Source organism: Homo sapiens, chromosome 6 (genome assembly GCF_000001405.40).
Source record: "Homo sapiens chromosome 6, GRCh38.p14 Primary Assembly".
Taxonomy (NCBI): domain Eukaryota; kingdom Metazoa; phylum Chordata; class Mammalia; order Primates; family Hominidae; genus Homo; species Homo sapiens.
In genome coordinates, this window is record NC_000006.12 from 121434638 (window position 1) to 121460067 (window position 25430).

Genomic DNA, 25430 nt, shown 5'->3' on the forward strand with positions numbered 1-25430 from the left:
CACATGACTCAGGCCATTATAAACCCTAATGCAGAGCCCTGAAGAGGGAGAGCATTTGGAAGGGGATAGGGAAGCACATAAAGATGATATGCTCAGCTTTACTGTCGTTGGGCAGAAAACTCTCTAGTGGGCTTGAGAGGGGGAACTGATTTTAAGGAGGGCTGAATAGTTTGGGAACCTACTTAATGCAACCATAGTCTGTATTTTTAAAATCCTCACATTTCACTACAGATTTGGGTTTTAGTGTCTTGGCATAAATAGGGCCTTAATATAAATTCTTAGTTTTCTGGAGACATGGTAGAGGTCAGATATCAAGATTTCATAGGCAAACAAAACATGCTATATATGTAAAAAATGTATATACACACACAGCCTTTTGCTAAACTGAAAGAAAGTAAAAATTCAAAGCAGTCAAGGGGTTGAAAGATGGATTGGGTATGGACTTTTCTTCATCTATGTCAATTTTTGAAATCTCTCTCCCATCTCCACCATTCCCTTTGTTAATTGTCCTTGCTTACATTTAAAGGAAGGGAATTAGATCATCAAACAGGTCACTCACACCTACCTCTAACTTCACACACCTTGGTCAATGTGAAACAAGCTTGAACTGGTTATATGCTTCCCCACCATTTTTATTTATTGTAAGCTACTTTAAAAATTTTAGACAATGTTGTAATAAAAATATACACCTTTTTCCCCCATTATCCCTGGTCTTCTGGTGAAGCAAGCAGTGTAATCAATGATTCTTATGTGTGAGGAGCAACTCCAAGTAGAGGCGTTCATGTCCCTAATGCTTTTTTATTTTTCCTCATCAGCAAATTTAAACTACAACTTTATCCTGATCCCACTGCTGCTCTTTGCCTCTTCTCCCCCCAGCCCTTCCACATTTACCAGCCTCCTCCCTACCTCCTCCCAGCCTTTCCCTTTGCCCTCCCCTTTCTTCTAGCCCCTCCTCCCAGTTGAGTCAGTGGCTTGAAACTTTTAAAAGCTCTGTGCTCCAAGTTACAAAAAAGCTTTTACGAGGTATCAGCACTTTTCTTTCATTAGGGGGAAGGCGTGAGGAAAGTACCAAACAGCAGCGGAGTTTTAAACTTTAAATAGACAGGTCTGAGTGCCTGAACTTGCCTTTTCATTTTACTTCATCCTCCAAGGAGTTCAATCACTTGGCGTGACTTCACTACTTTTAAGCAAAAGAGTAAGTTTTTAAAAAATGAGAACACGTTACCTATTAGTTTCTTTTTCTACAAGTAAAACTTTTCTAAAGTTTTAAAATGTGTTAAATGTAATTTTGAATTATGATACTGTAAATGGATTGATGGATTTGAAAGTGTTTCTATAGTTTTAAAGTTAAAATTTATTGTACCAAATATATATTTTGACTGTTAAAAAAGTTTCTATTAACATTGCAACAGGTGAAAAGGTTCAAACCTTTCCGATTAGAATAAAGGATTAGTTTACTGGATGTTTGGTTTTTCATTTTAGAGTATCATTTTATTTTGTTTTTTTTTTGTAATCAGTAATAGTCTAGGTGCTATCATTTGTTGGGTGGGGGGGGGGCGGTTAGGCGCCTGGGTTGGGGGATTTGACTGACTACATCGGAAAAATCAAAGTGCAAATTTGCTTAGCGTGCTTCCTATAGTATTCTACACTTCATAGAATAAAGTGCTTTTTTCATATGGAAATCTTGATTGATGTTCTATAGCTTTGCAAAGCCAACTTCTTTTGTGACGAAGTGCTTTGTTAAAACATCGTGGTTACTTGACTTCCACGTGGTTCCTTCCTAGAATTTTCCCCATTAAACAAAAAGGTATAAAATTCAAGAGTATTAATATTATGCTTTAAAAATCAACAGTAAATTGTTACTTTGTGTTAGCAACCGCTATGGAAAGATTTGAGACCCTCAGGAGAGACAGCTTTTACTCGACCACGTTGGCAGTTTAGGAGATGAAATCTCTTGAATGGGTGGTGGCTAGTTACAGAGCATTAGAGATCAGACGTTTAAAAAAGAGTGTATGCCAGGGTACTTTTCCAAAACCGTCTCCTAAAACGGGAGCTCCTAGAAAGAGCAGGAAAAAAACTTTCTTAAACAGCGCTTTGGGAGCTCCCCCCGCCAACACCCGCCGCCCCGCACCTTCCCTCTGCTCGAACCTGTAACAGAATTCAGAACTCTGGGGCAGTTCTTTGGAGTTGGAGCTCCTAGGGCAAAGATAACGCTAATGCGTTGTTTAAAAGGGTTCAATTTTTAAAATACTTTTATTGGTAACACCCATTCTGTTCATCAGAAATGCAGCCATGCATTTTTGTGCCCGGTAAAGATTTTCTGTTCTGTGTAAATCTACAAACTAAAATAATTAGTTTAGATTCTTGACGTGACCCTGCAGTGGAAGTATTTGCACCAGTGAATGCTGAAAAGCAAATAAAAATGAAAGCTTTGCGGAGGCCGTGGGCCGGACGGGCGCGGGGCGCCTCCTGCCATCTTAGCGTCTGCCGGGATCCTTCCCGCGCCTTCGCTGCCCGAACCAGCTCGGTCTTGGGACGTTTCCCCCAAATCCTCACAAGTCAAATCGAACTCAGGTCCGAGTTCGTCACTGCAAAGGAACCCGGGGTGCGGGGTGGGAGGGATAGGAGGAGAGATGGGCTGGGTGCCAAATGGTAGAACAAATGGTTGATTTAATTAAAGTTGTCAATCTAATTTCCCATCCCTCTCACACCAGCCCTTTTTTTTTTTCTTTTTCTTTTTTCCTCTTAAACTTGCTGAATCCCACTATCTCCGCGTTGGTAAGAAAACCTGAATACCTTGGGAATTGTGCTTAAATTGCACTTGCAACTCCCCTGGAAGTTCCTGAAACTTCCCGAGAATGAGGCGGGGCGGCTCAAGGGGAAAGGGCAGGGAGGAGAGACCCTCGGGAAGCTGATGACGCGTCCGGGGCAAGTCAGCCTGTTTCCGAGACGCGCGCCTCACGGTCGTAGCAGCGCTGCGCCCACCCTGCCCCTTTAGTGACCCAGCCAGCCTTTGCTGGGGGTTTCTGATAACGCTCATCGATAAGCTCTCCTTGCTCCCAAAAGGCGTGCTTCTCTTTCTCTCCAGGTACAAAGTAGGGGTGGGAAGGGGAGAGCTACACAATGTTGTAAAAAGAAGCGTGGCTTTATTTGGAAGACGGTTGAATTTCTTTTGCTTCCTCGACCCAGTTAGTAACGACAAGAAAGATACTGAATATCGCCCTCCGAAAATCGGGCGCATTTGAACTCGGTGAAAAGTGTCCCTGTGAGGAAGCCTAATGTTTACTTTTGTGCAAGGATAACTGGAAATTAAAGCGTCTAGTAATGCAGAGATTTCATTAAGCGAGCGCTCCCCTCCCCCCCGCGCCAGGAATGAAATAAGCCAGTTAGACAGAAAACACTTTTGGGAGAAGACTAATTACTTCTGGGTAGGCCGAATTGACTGGAAATTATACCAAGCAAAGGCAGTACATTCCATTCCGTCCTGGCGATGTTGATTCTATATTATTAGAACATTGTTCCCCCAGTGTGGGGGTGCTTTGTACTTCCCAAAGTCAGGGTAGACTGGTTACCTGGGAAAATGCAGTGTTAGTGCTTTGCTCCTACTTTCTTCACTGTTTAAACATGTTCCACATTTTTCTAATGCCTTCTGAGGGTTCTCAACCCAGCCACTGAGTTCCTCACCCTTGGCGACTGTGATACCAACAATGCTGTCACCCTCCTTGGGAAACATGGTTGCAAAGATGCTCCGCAGGAGGCAGATAAAAGGCTGTGCTTTCAGATACTGAAGGTTGCTTTGTTACTTAGATGTTTCCAATTCCTGCATAGAGAAGGAGGGAAAACACGGGGTGCATTCTTTCTTTTCTTTTCTCTACATCCAGGGGTGTAGCTTGGTTTGAGCCTTTATATATGATACCCGCAGGGAAGGGAATGATAGGACAGTCACCAGTGATTAATACCTTCCACTCCGCCTTTCCTGTTGTTCTGACTTATCTTCAGGATTCTCAGTTATTTGAAGAGATGTGTGGGAGCTTATCCGCACACACCAGTTCAACTCTGGAGAGAAAAAGTAATTATCTAGTGTTTATTATTAATGTAATATTCTGTATGGATAATTCAAGTTTTAAAAAATCTCCAGAGCATCTCTTCCATGGGAGATTAATGTATATATTTTTTAAATTCTTAGCATAATTGTCTAAACCTCCATCTAAAGTCACCTTTTAACTATGTATGTACAGATTGTCTTTTACCTATTTTCAAACTGTGGTTAGCTCTTTTTTTTTAATACATCAGTGGCTTATACAATTTCATAAATTTCACATTCCAATTTCCCTATGCTTTTAAAATAATATTTTAAGAAAAATATATGTTTATCGTCAGCTGGGCATGATGGCTCATGCCTGTAATCCTAGCCCTTTGAGAGGCTGAGGTGGGAGGATCGCTTGGGGCCAGGAGTTTAAAACCAGCCTGAGCAACATAGCAAGACCCCACCTCTATAAAAAAAAATTTTAAAAAGAAAATGTATGTTTGTCAATCATTTCTTAGTTGCTGTTTTGCTAAAGAAAAGATGAAAAATTTAAAACCAAATGAGCTATATCTAAAGGTCGTCTAAAGAGTAAGAACCAAACTTTACTGAGCTGTTACTAAGAGCATCACATGCATGAGTTATTTATTAAATTCTCATTGAAAAAAATAGACTATCTTAATCAATACACTTGTGAGGGCCCTAAGGGTGTCTTTATATGATTATAAAATAACAAGGCTATTCACTAAAAATAGTCAATTTGGAGGTGGAAGTAAGAGTAGGGGCAGAGGAAACGCCAAGGACTGATAGAAATATATTAAGTTACATCACAATTGAAGAACATGGCTTTTAGCCTCAGCTTCTGACTTGGGATTTTCTCTCTGGTAGCCCTAAATTGATCTTGAGAAACTTGTTTTGGGGGAGAATTGAGTAGTAGCTGTTGAACTAGGGAGAGGATTGTCTTTTATGGGATGCACCATCCTCTCTTTGGATGGAGTTCCTCACACCTCAATTCCCATCTCATCTCATTAAGTGGATGCTAATGTAAGTTCAGTGATGAGGAGGGGTAAGAGCTGGGGAAGGAAGGCTTGTTGGTGTTTTTATGTTGTCCTCCCCTCTGCCCCCAAAATAAGCAGTTCACAACATCAAATACCTACACAAATGTGCAATTATTTATAAATATATTTTTACATACAGTAAGTTTGATACACTATAGTTAGGCCATCTAGGTATAAATAAGGAAGTAAAGGTTGGGTATTATCTGATGAACTGGGAATCTTTTCCATGGTACTTGAATCTAATCACTTTAGTGCCTGCATAGACTCAGACTGTAAAGATGTTACATTAACCAGGGTTAATATCAACTGCTGCTCTTCCCCTTCAGAGCCCTAGCCTTCCCCGATATTTATCATTCTTGAAATAAACACGATTTTAAACAGGCTATTTCTTCTTGTAATAGTGTCCTTGTCTACAATAAAATTGTGTGGTGCAATCGGAGTTAGAACATCGTAGAACTAGGGGACAACCACACAGTTGTGTTTTTTCCTTTTTTTTTTTGTTTTGTGTTTTAAATCTTAACCTGCAACAACCTAACAGTGAACTGAATGTACAAGCATGATACCTGATGCAGTTCTACAAGAATCCTAACCCTCATTAGGATCTCATTTAACAAATTCAGGAAGCTCTTTGTTAAAAAGCCTTTTTTCTTTTTTCTTTTAAGCCTGTCAAATTTAGCAGTGGGGGTTGCAAAGAGCCTTTTTTCTTAATTTAGCTCTTTTGCCTGCTCAGGAATCATTTGAAGCATGTTGTTTCAACAAACAGTTCTCTGTTTCAGCAATTGTCACTTGAAAATTTAACAGTATGAGAATGAGATGATGACAATAGTTTTTTACTGTGAAGTTTCCTTTTTAATTAATTTGAAACTTTAGAAATTTGAGATATAACTACAATTAAGAGAATCCCAAAGAGACAGAAAAAAACAAACTTTTTTTTTTTTTTTGCACAGTATCTTTCTATTTTTTGTGGAAGCCCCATTTAATTCATTTAACATGTAGCTATACCCCAATTAATTAATTCTTTTCTTTTCTTTTCTTTTTTTGAGACGGAGTTTCACTCTATCACCCGGGTTGGAGTGCAGTGGTGTGATCTCTGCTCACTGCAGCCTCCGCCTCCCGGGTTCAAGCAATTCTCCTGCCTCAGCCTCCAGAGTAGCTGGGATTACAGGCACCCGCCACCACGCCTGGCTACTTTTTTGTTGTTGTTGTTGTTGTTGTTGTTGTTGTTTGTCGTTTTTTTCTTTGAGACGGAGTCTCGCTCTGTCGCCCAGGCTGGAGTGCAGTGGCGCGATCCCGGCTCACTGCAAGCTCCGCCTCCCGGGTTCACGCCATTCTCCTGCCTCAGCCTCCCGAGTAGCTGGGACTACAGGTGCCCGCCACCACGCCCGGCTAATTTTTTTGTATTTTTTTTATTTTTAGTAGAGACGGGGTTTCACTGTGTTAGCCAGGATGGTCTCTATCTCCTAACCTCGTGATCCGCCCGCCTCGGCCTCCCAAAGTGCTGGGACTACAGGCTTAAGCCACCGCACCCGGTCTACTTTTTTGTGTTTTTAGTAGAGATGGGATTTCACTATGTTGGCCAGGCTGATCTCAAACTCTTGACCTCAGATGATCCTCCCACCTCGGCCTCCCAAAGTGCTGGAATTACAGGTGTGAGCCACATCTCTTACTCTTTCAAGCACTGGGGATACAGCAGTGAACAAAGCAAACTCCCTCGTATTGTTCACATTCCAGTTAAGGAAGACAAATAATAAATCCTTCTCATGGAAGGAGGTACATAGTAATCAGGCAAATATTTACTATATCAAGTAGAGAGAAAGTCTATTAAAATAATAATTTTTTAAAAACCAGGGCAAAGGGAATAGGAAATGACAGGACTGGGGAAAGGATGTTGCTATTTCATATTTGGTGGTCAGGAAAGTTGGCTGATGAGGTGAGACCTGCAACAAGTGAGGACGTGAGCTGCGTGGATGGAGCAGAGCTCATCAAACCAAGCTGATTGTTGGTTTGTTTTCTCAAGATTGACTGATTACTCGGAGTATAGGTTGGCAAGTAGGGTGACCAGGCTAATGACATGAAACCTAGCAAACTGATGATGGCTGAGATCAAGCTAAGGGTGGCTGTTTTAAGTGCGGAGGAATAGACAACTGAGTTCACTCAATGACATTTACTGGAGGGGCAGAGGTTATTATAAAAGTGAAAGAAAACATTACAAGGGTTTGCATTTGAGTTTTTGGGCATGAATATTTTTGGGTGTTAGTACATTAGACACACACATGATTTCCCTTTCCTCCCAAAAAATCCATTAAATGATTTTATCGGGAACTTCCATAGACATTTCCTTATGTAGGTTTAGACTCTGATTTTATTCTTTCAGATATTAAAGTCCTTCACCTTCTCTTTTCTTTCAATCATAAAAAGATGCTGGATATCAAATTTCACTTTAGTTTTCAATAATCCTATTTACCTTTATTTAAGTCTCCATTCTCAACTCATTACATTTGTCTCTTCTTGAGAAAAATATTTAAAGTCGATAGTAAAATACTTAATTCTAATAACTATTAGTATATTAATGGCATGGAAAGACTTGACTGCAACTTCGGCACATGCTCTAGCAAAAGGCATAGTCAAATGTAATTTAAAATCAAAGCTTTATTTTTAAGAGATCTCATTTGAATTAAAGCGTTTAAGTTCTTCTGCTCTCAGGGAGCTGCAGATGGAGATGTAAGGAGTGACAAGGGGCTGTGGAGCCAAGGCTGACCTCAATGCCGGGTGCCCAGAGAGCTGCTGCTCCTGGTACTCAGCCCCTTGGATTTTTTAGACTGTTCCTTCTGCTTTCCTGACATTTCTCCCACTCCTAAATATTTTGAACAAGAAAGGGCCAGAAATGTCAAGAATAGTAACAAACACCAAAAAAACCTTACTTCCTAGGCCCCACCTCCAGAAATTCAGATTCATTCAGACTGGTGAAGACCAGGAATGTATGTTTTTAACAAATGCTGCCAAGTGACTGTGATGCAGTTCAGGAAAGGGGCCAGAGGAGCCTCAGGCTGGTCACACTTAGTGCCTGTAGCTTTGGGCATCCATCCAGTCTAGGGGGCCATGAAGAGCAATGGAAATGTAATCTAACATGGTGCATAGACGGCAAAAAGCGTGGTCCAGCTGCTAAGACTCTGCTCTTAACAAGAACTTTGCACAACTCCTCTTAGACAGACCTTGGTCTACATATAAAGCACCAACTCAGTATCCTAGAGGTGAAGGCATGAATATATGTGATATGTCCAGCTGCGTTGGTCTTCTCATGTATCAAATAAGAAATATACCTGTTTCCCCCTGGTGAATAAAAGTGCAGTTTATAGTCTGTAGATCAATGCCAGGGATTCTGTAAACATATAATTATGCCCTTTTATTATAAGAGGGTATTAACTTACCATACAAGACTTGGAAAAATGAAGATATTAAACTAGTTTGGGAAGGTGCAGCAGGGAGGAACAACCAGTTGCCAAAATTTGATTCATGGCAAAGTGAGCAACTACCAAAAAAAAAGGGAACAATTTTTGTTACCTGTTTTTGGGCAGCTGTCACATTAAACATTATTTGATGGTATCTATGATAGTGGAGATCGACAGGTAGCTACATGTTACAGGATACTCGGTGTCCAATTCGATAATTCGTATCTTATTAAGATGAAAGAGTATAACTCATTAATGCAAATGACAACTGCATGGGTGCTTAAAGAAAAGACAACTTTGCAATTAAGTTACTAGAGTATTAAAAAAGAACTAATGAAGAGCTGTCTGATGACTTAGTTCACATACTATGGAACTGTGGAGTGTTTTTGTAGAATCTCAAAATTATATGAAAGTCATGTATCATGAATTTTTTTATAGAATGTAAATAAAGACTATACTTTCAGGGATCATTTCTATAGTTTGTTACTAGAATGTAAATAAACTTAGTGATGAATTACTATAAGCATCTACACAATCATATTTTACTTTGAGTAATGATGAAATCCTAGCTAAAATAACTTCTGTTCTGCCTGGTCATATTTCTAGATATGATAGGTTTGTCTTCAGCTCTATCGTTGCATGAATGTGATGAGATGTATGCAAAGTTTATCTTTTTATACTTGATTGTTTTTGTTATTTTTCCCCTAGCAATTGAAATATGTGAGCAAAAGCAGATGACACTGGCAAAATACTGTAATTTTTTACAAACAGAATTAGGGCCAATTTTACACATCATCACATAGAAACTGTCTATTGATATAGCTCCAAAGATTCTGTTTGTCTGACCCTCATGGACTATACTTCTTCATTTCCAGTCTAGTATTTTCTGCTAAATTGTAGGGTTTTTTTTTCTTTCACATTCTCTCACCATCAAACTGTCCATCACGGCTAAATTACTCCCTCACTTCAAGCCTTTCCTTGGCTATTCAACTGTCTTTGTCAGCCTTTCAAGCCTTTGTTCTTATTTGACTGCTGTTTTAAATTGATGCTGTTTTCATACATCAATTTCACTTCCTAACTTGTCACTTCAGAATCTAAAATGACCCTTCCTAAGTAAAAGGGAAGCTCCCTTTCTTATGACCACTGGGGGAGTGTTATTTCTGTGGCCTTCACACCCACCTCCCACTCTTACTCAGCATTCTTTGGCACTAGTCCCTGGGCTGTCATCAAATGTACCCATGATACCGTGGTACCATCTAGCTGGTGCATAGTTTAGCTTTATGGCTCAGCCATCTCTTCTTTGTTCGGTCCAGGAAATCCCAGGTCAGGTGCCCATTTCATTTTTTCTTGTTCTCTATGGCCAGAAGATGCAGTCATTAGACAGAAATGTAATGTTGCTTACTGAGGAAGAAGACTCCCCTGGATTTCATTTACTTCCTACAAGGAGATACAGCTCAATAGTTCAACACCAGAAGAGAAACTCCTTTATATTCAGATAGTGAACATATTTCTAAGAAGCCTAAATAATCCTACCTTTAGATACTCTATTTAGAATTCATTACTAAGCTCCTGCAAAGTCTTAGCTTTGCTTGTTTTTAATTATTAAACAATCTTTGACTAATTTGTCCTTTTCTAAATCCTCCAATTACTACTATGTGCTGAAAATTAGCCTATATTCCCTATGCCTGCCACATCATGTTACTCACTTCTTCCCAGCTTTCAGCCCTGGCTAAGGTTGTGTATATCAAAGCCTGGAAACATTTCTAGCTTTAGCGCAGCCTTACTGTACTTTTAAAACCAGTGTGAGGCATTGAAAAGACTTGCCCGGGGATTGTGAATCTTCTTCTGGCTCTGTCTATAGCTAAATATTTCCTATACCCTGAGAACCTCTGAGAACCTCAATTTTTATCAGCTAAATGGATAATCGGCAATTAGAAGCATAAATTGAACTAGACAACTTTGGGGATTCTTGTTGGTTTCTACTGACTTACATCTTTTTAGTGAGACGGAGTCTCTCTTTGTCACCCAGGCTGGAGTGCAGTGGCGTGATCTCTGCAAGCTCCGCCTCCCGGGTTCAAGCGATTCTCTTGCCTTAGCCTCCCGAGTAGCTGGGACTACAGGCTCCCACCACCACACCTGGCTAATTTCTTGTATTTTTTGTAGAGACGGGGTTTCACCATGTTAGCCAGGATGGTCTGAATCTCCTGACCTCATGATCCACCCGCCTCCCAAAGTGCTTATAGGCGTGAGTGCATTATAGGCGTGAGCCACCACGCCTGGCCAGATCTTTTTCTTATCCTCAGTAATGGAGAAGGCGTGGACTTTAGATAGCTAGATATTGATAAGAAGTTAAATGGGATGTATAGCCTGAGGGTCCAAAGCCCAGTAAGGGAACTTTAAAGTATATAACAATGAAAGATGAAAACCAATCTTTTCTGGCTGGAGAAAACACCCTGAAGTAGGTTTTGTTTGTTTGTTTTTTAATAAGGCTGTGAGTAGTATTGAGACAAAATGAACTTTTTACATGAAGTGTGATGTGTATTTAGTCTTTGTTTTTCAAAGTAGGTTACTACATATAATGACACATTGTAGCAAAAGAGTATATTTCCATACAGCCTACTTTTTCTCTGGACAGAAGGCTGACTTCTGAGCTACATAAGTCACTGCTTAAGAAAAAAATAGTCACCATTGCTTGGGAGGCTAAGGCAGGAGGATTTCTTGAGCCCAGGGGCCTGGGCAACATAGTGAAATCCTATCTCTAAAAAAAGAAACAGAAAAGTGTAAATGACAATAATATAGGGTATGCACAAATTACACTTGATATACCATTGAAAAATCTTCCAGAGGCCAGGCGTGGTGGCTCACACCTGTAATCCCAGCACTTTGGGAGGCTGAGGTAGATGGATCACCTGAGGTCAGGAGTTCGAGACCAGCCTGAGCAACATGGAGAAACCTCATCTCTACTAAAAATACAAAATTAGCCAGGCGTGATGGCACATGCCTGTAATCCCAGCTACTTAGGAGGCTGAGGCAGGAGAATCGCTGGAACCTAAGAGGCGGAAGTTGTGGTGAGCTGAGATTGTGCCATTGCACTCCAGCCTGGGCAACAAGAGGGAAACACCATCTTAAAAAAAAAATCTTTCAGAGTGAAATTAGTAATAAAATGATATATAATAGCATTAAGGTTTTGGAAAGAAGGTTATGGATGTGTGTTTATAGGTATTCTTACCTGGATTCTTGATACCTATGCTTTGAATAACACACATCAGGATTTTGCTTAGCAAACACAGATCTACCAGGCAAAAACTGTCCTCATTTATCAGACAAATAAAAGGAGCAGAGGCTTAGCACAGGTGGCTTCTCAAGTCACACAGCAAGGCAGTGGTTGAGCAAGCAATACACCTTCCCAGGTTAAAGACTGCAACTCATCATCTGTTGCTTCTAAGACTTACTTTGTCTCAACAAACAAAACAAAACACTTGTTAGATCTTTTCTTCGTTGGCAAAAATGGGACAGGAAGAGTTTGCACTTGGTTTTTTGTGAAAGAATGTTAGAAATACGTGAAACCGTTGGTAGTATTTTGACTATCACCTGAAAGGTACTAAATGTTAAACTAGTAATTTGCAATCTGTGATCCTTGAATTGTCTCTTTGTTTCTTTCAGGTGGTGCCCAGGCAACATGGGTGACTGGAGCGCCTTAGGCAAACTCCTTGACAAGGTTCAAGCCTACTCAACTGCTGGAGGGAAGGTGTGGCTGTCAGTACTTTTCATTTTCCGAATCCTGCTGCTGGGGACAGCGGTTGAGTCAGCCTGGGGAGATGAGCAGTCTGCCTTTCGTTGTAACACTCAGCAACCTGGTTGTGAAAATGTCTGCTATGACAAGTCTTTCCCAATCTCTCATGTGCGCTTCTGGGTCCTGCAGATCATATTTGTGTCTGTACCCACACTCTTGTACCTGGCTCATGTGTTCTATGTGATGCGAAAGGAAGAGAAACTGAACAAGAAAGAGGAAGAACTCAAGGTTGCCCAAACTGATGGTGTCAATGTGGACATGCACTTGAAGCAGATTGAGATAAAGAAGTTCAAGTACGGTATTGAAGAGCATGGTAAGGTGAAAATGCGAGGGGGGTTGCTGCGAACCTACATCATCAGTATCCTCTTCAAGTCTATCTTTGAGGTGGCCTTCTTGCTGATCCAGTGGTACATCTATGGATTCAGCTTGAGTGCTGTTTACACTTGCAAAAGAGATCCCTGCCCACATCAGGTGGACTGTTTCCTCTCTCGCCCCACGGAGAAAACCATCTTCATCATCTTCATGCTGGTGGTGTCCTTGGTGTCCCTGGCCTTGAATATCATTGAACTCTTCTATGTTTTCTTCAAGGGCGTTAAGGATCGGGTTAAGGGAAAGAGCGACCCTTACCATGCGACCAGTGGTGCGCTGAGCCCTGCCAAAGACTGTGGGTCTCAAAAATATGCTTATTTCAATGGCTGCTCCTCACCAACCGCTCCCCTCTCGCCTATGTCTCCTCCTGGGTACAAGCTGGTTACTGGCGACAGAAACAATTCTTCTTGCCGCAATTACAACAAGCAAGCAAGTGAGCAAAACTGGGCTAATTACAGTGCAGAACAAAATCGAATGGGGCAGGCGGGAAGCACCATCTCTAACTCCCATGCACAGCCTTTTGATTTCCCCGATGATAACCAGAATTCTAAAAAACTAGCTGCTGGACATGAATTACAGCCACTAGCCATTGTGGACCAGCGACCTTCAAGCAGAGCCAGCAGTCGTGCCAGCAGCAGACCTCGGCCTGATGACCTGGAGATCTAGATACAGGCTTGAAAGCATCAAGATTCCACTCAATTGTGGAGAAGAAAAAAGGTGCTGTAGAAAGTGCACCAGGTGTTAATTTTGATCCGGTGGAGGTGGTACTCAACAGCCTTATTCATGAGGCTTAGAAAACACAAAGACATTAGAATACCTAGGTTCACTGGGGGTGTATGGGGTAGATGGGTGGAGAGGGAGGGGATAAGAGAGGTGCATGTTGGTATTTAAAGTAGTGGATTCAAAGAACTTAGATTATAAATAAGAGTTCCATTAGGTGATACATAGATAAGGGCTTTTTCTCCCCGCAAACACCCCTAAGAATGGTTCTGTGTATGTGAATGAGCGGGTGGTAATTGTGGCTAAATATTTTTGTTTTACCAAGAAACTGAAATAATTCTGGCCAGGAATAAATACTTCCTGAACATCTTAGGTCTTTTCAACAAGAAAAAGACAGAGGATTGTCCTTAAGTCCCTGCTAAAACATTCCATTGTTAAAATTTGCACTTTGAAGGTAAGCTTTCTAGGCCTGACCCTCCAGGTGTCAATGGACTTGTGCTACTATATTTTTTTATTCTTGGTATCAGTTTAAAATTCAGACAAGGCCCACAGAATAAGATTTTCCATGCATTTGCAAATACGTATATTCTTTTTCCATCCACTTGCACAATATCATTACCATCACTTTTTCATCATTCCTCAGCTACTACTCACATTCATTTAATGGTTTCTGTAAACATTTTTAAGACAGTTGGGATGTCACTTAACATTTTTTTTTTGAGCTAAAGTCAGGGAATCAAGCCATGCTTAATATTTAACAATCACTTATATGTGTGTCGAAGAGTTTGTTTTGTTTGTCATGTATTGGTACAAGCAGATACAGTATAAACTCACAAACACAGATTTGAAAATAATGCACATATGGTGTTCAAATTTGAACCTTTCTCATGGATTTTTGTGGTGTGGGCCAATATGGTGTTTACATTATATAATTCCTGCTGTGGCAAGTAAAGCACACTTTTTTTTTCTCCTAAAATGTTTTTCCCTGTGTATCCTATTATGGATACTGGTTTTGTTAATTATGATTCTTTATTTTCTCTCCTTTTTTTAGGATATAGCAGTAATGCTATTACTGAAATGAATTTCCTTTTTCTGAAATGTAATCATTGATGCTTGAATGATAGAATTTTAGTACTGTAAACAGGCTTTAGTCATTAATGTGAGAGACTTAGAAAAAATGCTTAGAGTGGACTATTAAATGTGCCTAAATGAATTTTGCAGTAACTGGTATTCTTGGGTTTTCCTACTTAATACACAGTAATTCAGAACTTGTATTCTATTATGAGTTTAGCAGTCTTTTGGAGTGACCAGCAACTTTGATGTTTGCACTAAGATTTTATTTGGAATGCAAGAGAGGTTGAAAGAGGATTCAGTAGTACACATACAACTAATTTATTTGAACTATATGTTGAAGACATCTACCAGTTTCTCCAAATGCCTTTTTTAAAACTCATCACAGAAGATTGGTGAAAATGCTGAGTATGACACTTTTCTTCTTGCATGCATGTCAGCTACATAAACAGTTTTGTACAATGAAAATTACTAATTTGTTTGACATTCCATGTTAAACTACGGTCATGTTCAGCTTCATTGCATGTAATGTAGACCTAGTCCATCAGATCATGTGTTCTGGAGAGTGTTCTTTATTCAATAAAGTTTTAATTTAGTATAAACATAGCTTCTATATTCCGTGTGATTTGTTTCCCCTGCCGAGATGGAGTCTTGCTCTGTCACCCAGGCTGGAGTGCAGTGGCGCGATCTCGTCTCACTGCAACCCTTGCCTCCCGGGTTCAAGCAATTCTCCTGCCTCACCCTCCCGAATAGCTGGGATTACAGGCACCGCCACCGCACCTGGCTAATTTTTGTATTTTTAGTAGAGATGGGGTTTCACCATGTTGGCCAGGCTGGTCTGGAACTCCTGACCTCGTGATCCGCCCACCTCAGCCTCCCAAAGTGTTGGGATTACAGGGGTGAGCCACCGCACCTGGCCTATATTTAAAACTCATTGACGGCATCTATTTGAGATTATTTAAACACATTTCTATTGGTTATCAGAACTTCAGCAAATAACAGTCATGTTTTCAGGGACAATATTTATCATTAGCTCTGTTCAGTGCAACATAAATTGTAAACATTTTTGGATATTTATTGAACCAAAAGGAAGATAAAGTGTTGAATTTGAAATATATCTTTAATGGGATGTGTGATAGAGTTTGAAATAAGGAAATATTGAGTCCGTAATCCCAGCACTTTGGGAGGCCGAGGTGGGTGGATCACCAGACGTTGGGAGTTCCAGACCAGCCTGACCAACATGGAGAAACCCTGTCTCTACCAAAAATACAAAATTAGCTGGGCATAGTGGCATATGCCTGTAATCCCAGCTACTCGGGAGGCGGAGGTTGCAATGAGCCGAGATCGCCCCATAGCACTCCAGCACGGGCAACAAGAGCGAAACTCCGTCTAAAGAAAAAAAAAAAGGAAATAGTAATTTAGTAGATCAGACATGACACGAATAAGCACAAAATCTTAATGATGATGAAATTTTAAAGTTGGAAAGCCTCCTGGAGAAACAAGAATAATAATGGGGTCAGTTTGAGTATAGTTACGTGAAGCAGCAAAAGAATAAAATTCATCTTAATTTCAGTACACAATATTGTGTAAAAATACAGAAAACAAGGTTTAAAAAATTCAAGATACCGAAGAAAAACAACCATTCAAAGGGAGTAGAACAATTCTGGGCAATTGATAATATTGTTGTAGTTTTAAATATAAAATTGACACTTGAAGTCACACTTCAAGGATGTTTTCTGTTATAACTTATTAAAATTATTTACATTAACATCTATTATCCACCACAAAGCAAACTGGTGAGTTACTGGAGCAGAAAATATCAGTAATTTAGAAGTAATCTACGCCGGGCGCAGTGGCTCAGGCCTGTAATCCCAGCACTTTGGGAGGCCGAGGCGGGTGGATCACGAGGTCAGGAGATCGAGACCATCCTGGCTAACACGGTGAAACCCTGTCTCTACTAAAAATACAAAAAAAAATTAGCCAGGCGTGGTGGCATATGCCTGTTGTCCCAGCTACTTGGGAGGCTGAGGCAGGAGAATGGCGTGAAACCAGGAGGCGGAGCTTGCAGTGAGCCGAGATCGCGCCACTGCACTCCAGCCTGGGCGACAGAGCGAGACTCCGTCTCAAAAAAAAAAAAAGGTGCTTAGTTCTGTTCAGTTGCTCCTTTATAATTTGTTTTTGGATGAAAAAAGATTGTGTCATTTGTTTAAAGTCAGAGGATTATCTAAAAGCCAGTTTCCCAGTCAATTTGATATAATTGGTAGTGTGAATACTTCTTCAAGTACTATTACTTGAGTGGTTGAGAATTATATGGAAGAGGCAAATGCTCTGCACTCACCTCCCACTATGTGTCTGTGCATGTTTGCATTTAATATGGGGAATAGACATGATTTGAGTGTATGTGTGTATTTATATAGGGTAAGATGTGGATGGACAAATGATAAGACAAGTGGTAGGGCAGAAGTATAAAATAAATTTCTGATGCATGTATATGGAGGAGGGAAAGCAAGTTCATCTTTCAGAAATAGTCATATAGGTCATCCTAAACATTTCCCAACTTTAAGATTTTACCATTTTAAAATATTTTATGTACATCTCATATATATATCTATATTATACATATCATATATGTACACAGCTTAAGGAACTACAATCTACAATGGAGAGTTAGGTATCTCACCTCTTTCTATACCTCAACATACACACCAGAAAAGTCCTAATTCTCAGCAGAAATCACTGTTAAAAATTTTAGACATCAACTAAGTATCGGGCACTTTGTTAAGCAGTGGGGATTCATAGAATGACCACAGCTTTCACTCCCATGAAGCTTATAATGTGAATTCTTCCAGTTTTATTTTTTATTTTTTTGAGACGGAGTTTCACTCTTGTTGCTAAGGCTGGAGTGCAATGGCACAATCTTGTCTCACCGCAACCTCCACCTCCCAGGTTCAAGTGATTCTCCTGCCTCAGCCTCCCAAGTAGCTGGGATTACAGGTGCCCGCCACCACACCTGGCTAATTTTGTATTTTTAGTAGAGACAGAGTTTCTCCATGTTGGTCAGGCTAGTCTCGAACTCCCCATCACAGGTGACCCGCCCGCCTCGGCCTCCCAAAATGCTAGGATTACAGGTGTGAGCCTCCGCGCCCAACAAATTCTTCCAGTTTTAAAAAAATTTTCCTTTTTTCATCTTAATTGGCTGCCTGCCTGGTTTTACCTACTAAAAAGTAAATTGAACTGTGTTTAAAAAGTATTAGAAAGGTATGCAGTTTTATTCTGCAAATATTTATTTGACACTCAGTTTTTGCATAAAATTTTAAGTTTAAAAAATTTGAGCCGGGTGTGTTGACTCATGCCTGTCATCCCAGCAACTTTGGGAGGCTGAGGCAGGTGGATAACTTGAGGTCCGGAGTTCGAGACCATCCTGGCCAACATAGTAAAACCCCATCTCTACTAAAAATACAAAAATTAGCCTGGCATGGTGGCACACACCTGTGATCCCAGCTACTTAGGAGGCCGAGACATGAGAATCACTTAAACCCTGGAGGCAGATGTTGCAGTGAGCTGAGAACACACCACTGCACTCCAGCCTGGGTGACAGAGTGAGACTCAGTCTCAAAAAAAAAAAAAAAAAAAAGAAAGAAAGAAAAAAGAAACTTCCAGGCCAAGAGCTGGTTTTTTACTTTATTTTATGAAAATGGCTGAACCTCTCAATTTGCCTAGGGTGCTAGTTCTCTGCCCACACGTGGCCTCTTCTAAAAATTCCAAACTTCGGATTCCAACATGCCAAAACATCTGTGCTTTGTACTTGGAGGGAGAGCAAAATAATGAAGTTTGGGGACTTATTAAAGTCTGAAAGTAAGTTCTTTTTATAAACAGCACACCAACAGTGTAGAAAAATGTTTCTAATCTTTACCGGCTCCAAGATTCTGTTTTTACCTTTTCTTGGTTGGGCAAATATAGCTTAGCCCTTGGCATGTCAGAATTGGCAGCTGGCAATTTTCAGAACTGAAGAGGAGACGTGGAAGAAATACCACAGAAACACTGCTTCAAGAAGACCAGAAAAAAGAAGACTATTGTATAGAGAAGAAAGCTAATTTCTTTTAACATTAAGGAGGGAAATTATGCATTAGTTTCTTGGTCTTCAAAAGTGTTGAAATTTTAATTCGGATTATTTCTTCTGGTCTCCGGATGTTTCCTTGCAATGACTAAATGCTTATTTGGGTTATGACGTGTAGTGTAATTTCAATGCCCACACACTTTCCTGTTGAATATAAAAACAGTCTCATGAGGCACCGACTTTAGAAGGTAAACCCTATGCCCAAGTCTTATTGAATGCAATGTGTCATCTGTCCCTATGCATATGGAACAAAATGGAGCCTGATCTGGCTTTCATGCTGGAGTCTTTTGTCAGTCAGTTACTCTTTACAAAACCGTTCATCAGAATTAGTAAAGACAGTAAAATAGTTTCTAGAGGCTACATTAGCAGAAACCCTAAGTGTTATTTTATCTTATTTTTTATTTAGAGACTGGGTCTCACATTGTCACTCAGGCTGGAGTGCAATCACAGCTAAGGTGCAATCACAGCTCACTGTAGCCTCGAACTCCTGGACTCAAGGGATCGTCCTGAGTCAGCCTCCTGAGTAGGTGGGATTACTGAGCAGGTGGCACCAATGCACTCTAGTGGTAATTTTTAATTTTCTTTTTTGTAGAGGCTGAGTCTTCCTTGGTTGCCCAGGCTGGTCTCCAACTCTGGCCTCCAGCGATCTCCCACCTTGACATTCCAATGTGCTGGGATTACAGGTGTGAGTGACCCTATCAAACCAATTTTATTTTTATTTTTTATTTATTTTTTTGTTCAGCCTCTGCAGAGACTGTCAAAAATTGTCAATGCCAACTATATTTCTGGTCATCATGGTGGAGTATTGGGAAAAATTTTCAATTAGCAGTAATCGCACCCTGGATAAACCTCATTGACTACGATCATGCCACTGTGCAAAGCCTGCGTATTTTATTTTAAAAGCAAATAAAGAGAAATGTAAGATTGCTTTCTGCTTTGAAAAACTTAGAGTTATACATTTCAGATTTTCAGGAATATTTATTAATCCTAAACACAGTTAACTAATTTAGAAACCCTTCCCTACAAGAATTTAACCTTCAGGTCAAATTATCAGAAAATGGCTGCAACTGAGGCTAACTCAAAGAACTCTAGAGGGTAAGCGTAAAATACTGAGATTTGTTAACACAGAACTTAAAGCTTTAACTCTCACCAGAGTCTCAGAATCTAAATTGGCCATTGCCTTGGAAGACTTTGATGTAGTTGTGGCTCAATTTCAACTTTCCCTCAATTTAGAGCAACTAGAATTAAATGGACTTAATAATTCTCTAGCATATTAAATGCTAATCATCCAAGCTACTCACTATAGGACCTATTCAAAGATAGACACCAGCAGACACCTGATTAAAGACAGTGGTTCTTCTGGGACAATTTTCTATATTTTTCAAAAGCTTGTCAATGACTCCCTTTTGGGGGGCAGGTAATTTAAAAATCTTTGAGGGGAACCACCTTGCATTTATGAGTTTCAAATTTCAGTGAGACTGAAGCAATCTGGAAATTAAATGTAAATACATCCAGCATCCTGTCATCTATAGTTAAATGTAAGTTAAAACTACCACAGATGTTTGCCTGTTACATTATGTTCTGTATATTTGAAATACCTTATAATTTATAATTTTATAATTCATAATTTTAAAAATGACTGCAGATATAAGAAATTATACAATGATTGAAGTTATTTATTTCAGTTTAGAGCTTTTAATTGTATATTTCTTCTTCATTTTCATACCCTTTTCATACCCTTAGTTTCTTTTTTTTTTTTTTTTTTTTTTTTTGAGACGGAGTCTTTCTTCGTCGCCCAGGCTAGAGTGCAGAGGCGCAAGATCTCGGCTCACAACAAGCTCCACCTCCCGGGTTCACACCATTCTCCTGCCTCAGCCTCCCGAGTAGCTGGGACTACAGGAGCCGGCCACCACGCCCCGTGAATTTTTTGTATTTTTAGTACAGACGGGGTTTCACCATGTTAGCCAGGATGGTCTCGATCTCCTGACCTCGTGATCCGCCCTCCTTGGCCTCCCAAAGTGCTGGGATTACAGGCTTGAGCCACCGTGCCTGGCCCATACCCTTAGTCTCTTCAGTCTAGCCTCTCGCTAGAATTTTTTGATTCATGAGGTCTTAAAAGATCTACTTTCCTCTCACGTTTTGTTCAAAACTAAAGTTTCGACTGTCATTTTTTTTCACCCTTAATCTACAGTTGAAGTCAAAACAGATTAAATGGTATAAAGCTTCTATCAAATTCCTTCCACCCTTGCTCTAACATTTAGAACAGCTTGTCAGATTTTGTTTGCTCATGTGTGGTATCAAACACTTTTCTTTGCCATCTATACCTTGACATCTTATACCTTGCTGTCCTTTTAACAAACAAGTGCCAAGTTAAATAATTCAATAGTAACTTCGGAATAATGTAGCAGACGTTTAACCTTTGTAATTAAAAAGTGTCATTGGCCGAGCACGGTGGCTCATGCCTGTGATCCCAGCACTTCCAGAGGCCGAGGCGGGTGGGTCACGAGGTCAGGAGATGGAGACCATCCTGGCTAACACTGTGAAACCCCGTCTCTACTAAAAACACACACACACACACACACACACGTAAAAAATTAGCCAGGCGTGGTGGCACAGGCCTGTAGTCCCAGCTCCTCGGGAAGCTGAGGCAGGAGAATCACTTGAACCCGGGAGGTGGCGGTTGCAGTGAGTCGAGCTTGTGCCACTGCACTCCAACCTAGGTGACAGAGTGAGACTATGTCTCAAAAAAAAAAAAAAAAAAAGTGTCATTGAAAACCATTAAAATTTGTCTTTAATTTTCATCTTTATTCTGGTGCTCACTTGTCTGAAGGACTTGCAGTATTTTATAATTAAAGGGTATAAGAACTGTAGGTGATGGTTATCTAAAACTCCAAACATGGCAAATGTGGGCATGAGGGTGCCACTTGGCTTCTGACCAGTGATTTTTAGTCAGCAATATAACAAAGCTCTGCCTTTAAACTGATGATTCTGCATGATAATTAGCTATTATGAGTGAGACAAAAGGAGCTAAAGAATCTATTACAAGTTATACCTAATTAAAGAAAAATTTTACTGTAGGAATCTATATATAAAAGTAAAAATCTTTATATACTTCTTATATGTAAGAAGGAAAAAGCAGTTCTAATAAAAAAGAAAAATGAACAAATCAGAGGAATTTACAGTTTTTTCTTTGTTTGCCAACTGCATGTTTGCTTTGGAAATGAATTATTAAAAGAAAAAAATCACTCCTTCAATTTGTTATGAATCAGCCTAACACAGTGCTAAGCACATAGTTTGTGGTGACAAAGATAACCTGATGATCACTTCAGGTTTTAGTCTGCATTTTGTTTTTCATTTAAAATATATCTTGGCCGGGCGCGATAGCTCATGCCTGTAATCCCAGCACTTTGGGAGGCCAAGACAGGCAGATCACAAGGTCAGGAGATCGAGACCATCCTGGCTAACACGGTGAAACCCCGTCTCTACTAAAAATAGAAAAATTCACCAGGCGTGGTGGCAGGCGCCTGTAGTCCCAGCTACTCGGGAGGCTGAGGCAGAAGAATGGTGTGAACCCGGCAGGCGGAGCTTGTTGTGAGCCGAGATCTTGCGCCCCTGCACTCCAGCCTGGGTGACAGAGCGAGACTCCGTCTCAAAAAAAAAAAAAAAAAATATATATGTGTATATATATATATATATATATATACATAAAACAACAACCCTCCCAATTTGTAACTAAATACAAGATGATCTTTAAAAGACAGGCTCTATTTTTAAAAGCCACAGTACATTAACACTACAAATATTTTCAAGAATTAGAAACATACATGTCTTAAGATTTTCCAAAAATCTCAGGATTTCTGGGGAATTTCCAACATTTGTAGGACATAAACTCTGTTGCCTCACAAAACTTGGATAATCAATAAAAATATGCTCTATAGTGAAAAGATATTTCAAGCAAAAATGATGTAAATAGGATTAGATGAGAAATTTGCAAGAAACGTGTATCTGAAAAAATTCTTGCCATGTTCAATAAGATTTGGCTTTATGTTCATCCTTATACACTAAACATTTTAAAAGATGGTACTTTAAACAAGTCTTGTGTCCTTTCTTGTTTATTTTCGTATCCCCCCAAAAACCATAAATACAACCATATGTCAGGGCAAAGCTGTATTGAGGGTTTGGACATAGTGCTCTTACTTTTATTTTTACCATTCATTTCTATGTATAGCAAGTAATATGTGTTTTTCATCAATGATCAAATTTTGTATATTTTTAGTTGCTTGTGGGCTAGAGGCTTAAGGAATAGAATACTTTTCCTTTCGTGTTTTTCAATGACCACAATGTCAAACATGAATTTAATGAAAGTCTATCCAGTGATATATATAGTTTTAATTTGAAATTTATGGATCTAGGAATTTTTGAGGCTGGCAGAAGCACAGGTAAGCAGAAACTGATTACTCAAGGAAATGTTTCTCATGTATTAACTATATGACCTTGAATAAGATGCATAACCTTTGATGCTCAGTCTCCAAACTATAAACAAAAATAAAAATTCATTCCTGCAAAGTTGTTGTGATGATTTAATGAGGTGTGTGTAAAGCGCATAGGACATGTGGTAAGTCCTTGATAAATGAGAGGCATTAGCTAATGGTTACAATTTATTTCAAGGGAAATGAACAAAGGGAAAAGTAGTGCTTCCAGGAAAAAAAAATCCAGTACACAGTCAAATTCTGAAAGTCAAAACGTTATGTCGGTGTTTTCTACTTCTGCAGAGTTTTAATAAGTAAAACAAGGATATGTCAATTTGTGTAATCACAAGACCACTGGAAAACAAGTCTTAGTGTCTTACACTACGTTAAATGTGATATGTGAGGGCTAGAAAATAACAGTGTAAATATAAAAAGTAAACAAGCTCAGAAGAGCTTCACTTTTTTTTTCAGAGACACAGTCTCATTCTGTCACCCAGGCTGGCATGCAGTGGCTCGAGACACAATCACAGTTCAAACTCCTGGGCTTAAGCCATCCTCCTGCCTCTTGAGTAGCTAAGACTACAGGTGCACATGCCTGGCTAATTTTTTTTGTTTTGTTTTGTTTTGTTTTTTTTAGAGACAGAATCTCGCTATGTTGCCCAGGTTGGTCTCAAACTCCTGGCCTCAAGAGATTCTCTTGCCTAGGCCTCCCTAAATTCTGGGATTGCAGGCGTCGGCTACCATGCCCAGCCAAGAACTTTAAATAAATTTAGTACCTACAACAGATAGGCAGGTATAGTAAGTCACCTTCAGAATTCTGAGAATTTGATGAGTAAAAAATCAACCTACAAAAAGGTTAGAATGTGTCCCCACCATAAAGTAGCTAGAAGTATTATTATTACTGTTATTAGAGACAGGGTCTTGCTATGCTGGAGTGTAGCAGTGGCTATTCACAGATGTAATCATAGTGCATTACAGCCTTGAACTCTTGGGGCTCAAGCTAACCTCCTGCCTTAGCCTCCTGAGTAGCTGAGTTTACAGGTGTGTGCCACTGCATCTGGCTAGAAGAAATATTATTAACAGATCAAGGAAAGGAATAGAGAAGGGAAATAAAATTAATTTTCATTAGAAATTTATAATGGCTTCCTTTGTCTTTATTTTATATATATATAAATATATGTATATATATAAAATATATATACATATATAAATACATATATATGTATTTATATATATTATATATATAAATATATATATTATATATAAATATATATTATATATAATATATATACATATATAATATATATAAATATATATAACATATATAAATATATATATTATATATATGTACATATATATTATATATAAATATATATAACATATATAAATATATATATTATATATATACATATATATAATATATATGTATATATATACACACACACACACATATATTTATTTATTTATTTATTTTTTTTTTTTTGAGATGGAGTCTCACTGTGTCGCCCAGGCTGGAGTGCAGTGGCATGATCTCGGCTCTCTGCAAGCTCTGTCTCCCGGGTTCACGCCTTTCTCCTGCCTCAGCCTCCTGAGTAGCTGGGACTACAGGCACCCGCCACCACGCCTGGCCAATTTTTTGTATTTTTAGTAGAGACGGGGTTTCACCATGTTAGCCAGGATGGTTTCGATCTCCTGACCTCATGATCTGCCCACCTCGGCCTCCCAAAGTGCTGGGATTACAGGTGTGAGCCACCACACCAGGCCCTTTTGTCTTTGTTGAAATGATGACTGTAATCCTTCAGTAGGCCTCAAAGCTATTACATTCTCTGGATCCTGGCTCTTGTTGCAGTCTCATCCATCATCATTCATAGTTTTCTGAGCTGTGGCTGTTGTAGAGGTTTTCCAGTATCTCCAAAGCTCTGAGTTTCTTCCTACCTGTGGTCTTTGCCCTCTGCCGAAATCACATTCCTCCCCATTCACCTAGGTAACTCCTGTTCTTCAATTCCCAGCTAAATCTTGCTTCCTCCTAGATCCTTTCTCTGATTCCCTGGGCTGCCCATTTTACGCTCCCATGGCATCTTGCTCTCTTCTTATCATTATGTGTACTGAATTGTTCAGTGTATTTTATTTACCTAGTATATCGTACTCACAATGAAAACAAAAGCCATTTCTGTCTTACTCTCTGCTGTGTCTCCAGAGTCTAACAGTTTGTGCAGTGTAGTACTAACAACAATACCTACCAATTGTCACCTGCTAATTAATAAATGCAGTTGAAGCAGGTAGAACTCTTTGTTTTTTTGTCAGATATATCTCTGTTAAGGAAATAGATAAATAGGTTGAAATTAGTCATTCACATCATC

At 39.6% G+C, this 25430-nt stretch overlaps 1 protein-coding gene and 2 pseudogenes across 1 annotated transcript, besides 3 other annotated features; 2 read left to right on the forward strand and 1 right to left on the reverse strand.

Annotated features, from left to right (window-relative positions):
- GJA1 (gap junction protein alpha 1) lies at positions 1009-15090 on the forward strand. The gene is made up of 2 exons (NM_000165.5): positions 1009-1195; positions 12195-15090. Exon 2 carries the CDS (start codon positions 12211-12213, stop codon positions 13357-13359), a length of 1149 nt encoding a protein of 382 aa, NP_000156.1. The 5' UTR covers positions 1009-1195; positions 12195-12210; the 3' UTR covers positions 13360-15090.
- Positions 3269-4146: an enhancer, noted in NCBI's record as "OCT4-NANOG-H3K27ac-H3K4me1 hESC enhancer chr6:121759052-121759929 (GRCh37/hg19 assembly coordinates)". NCBI's record gives its function as "activates a minimal SCP1, AML or CMV promoter by ChIP-STARR-seq in primed H9 embryonic stem cells {active_cell/tissue: H9 hESC(primed)}" and the evidence as "EXISTENCE:reporter gene assay evidence [ECO:0000049][PMID:30033119]".
- Positions 8980-9056, forward strand: LOC124901515 (uncharacterized; annotated as a pseudogene).
- Positions 12531-13031: an enhancer, noted in NCBI's record as "H3K4me1 hESC enhancer chr6:121768314-121768814 (GRCh37/hg19 assembly coordinates)". NCBI's record gives its function as "activates a minimal SCP1, AML or CMV promoter by ChIP-STARR-seq in primed H9 embryonic stem cells {active_cell/tissue: H9 hESC(primed)}" and the evidence as "EXISTENCE:reporter gene assay evidence [ECO:0000049][PMID:30033119]".
- Positions 13032-13532: an enhancer, noted in NCBI's record as "H3K4me1 hESC enhancer chr6:121768815-121769315 (GRCh37/hg19 assembly coordinates)". NCBI's record gives its function as "activates a minimal SCP1, AML or CMV promoter by ChIP-STARR-seq in primed H9 embryonic stem cells {active_cell/tissue: H9 hESC(primed)}" and the evidence as "EXISTENCE:reporter gene assay evidence [ECO:0000049][PMID:30033119]".
- RNU4-35P (RNA, U4 small nuclear 35, pseudogene) lies at positions 19344-19484 on the reverse strand (annotated as a pseudogene).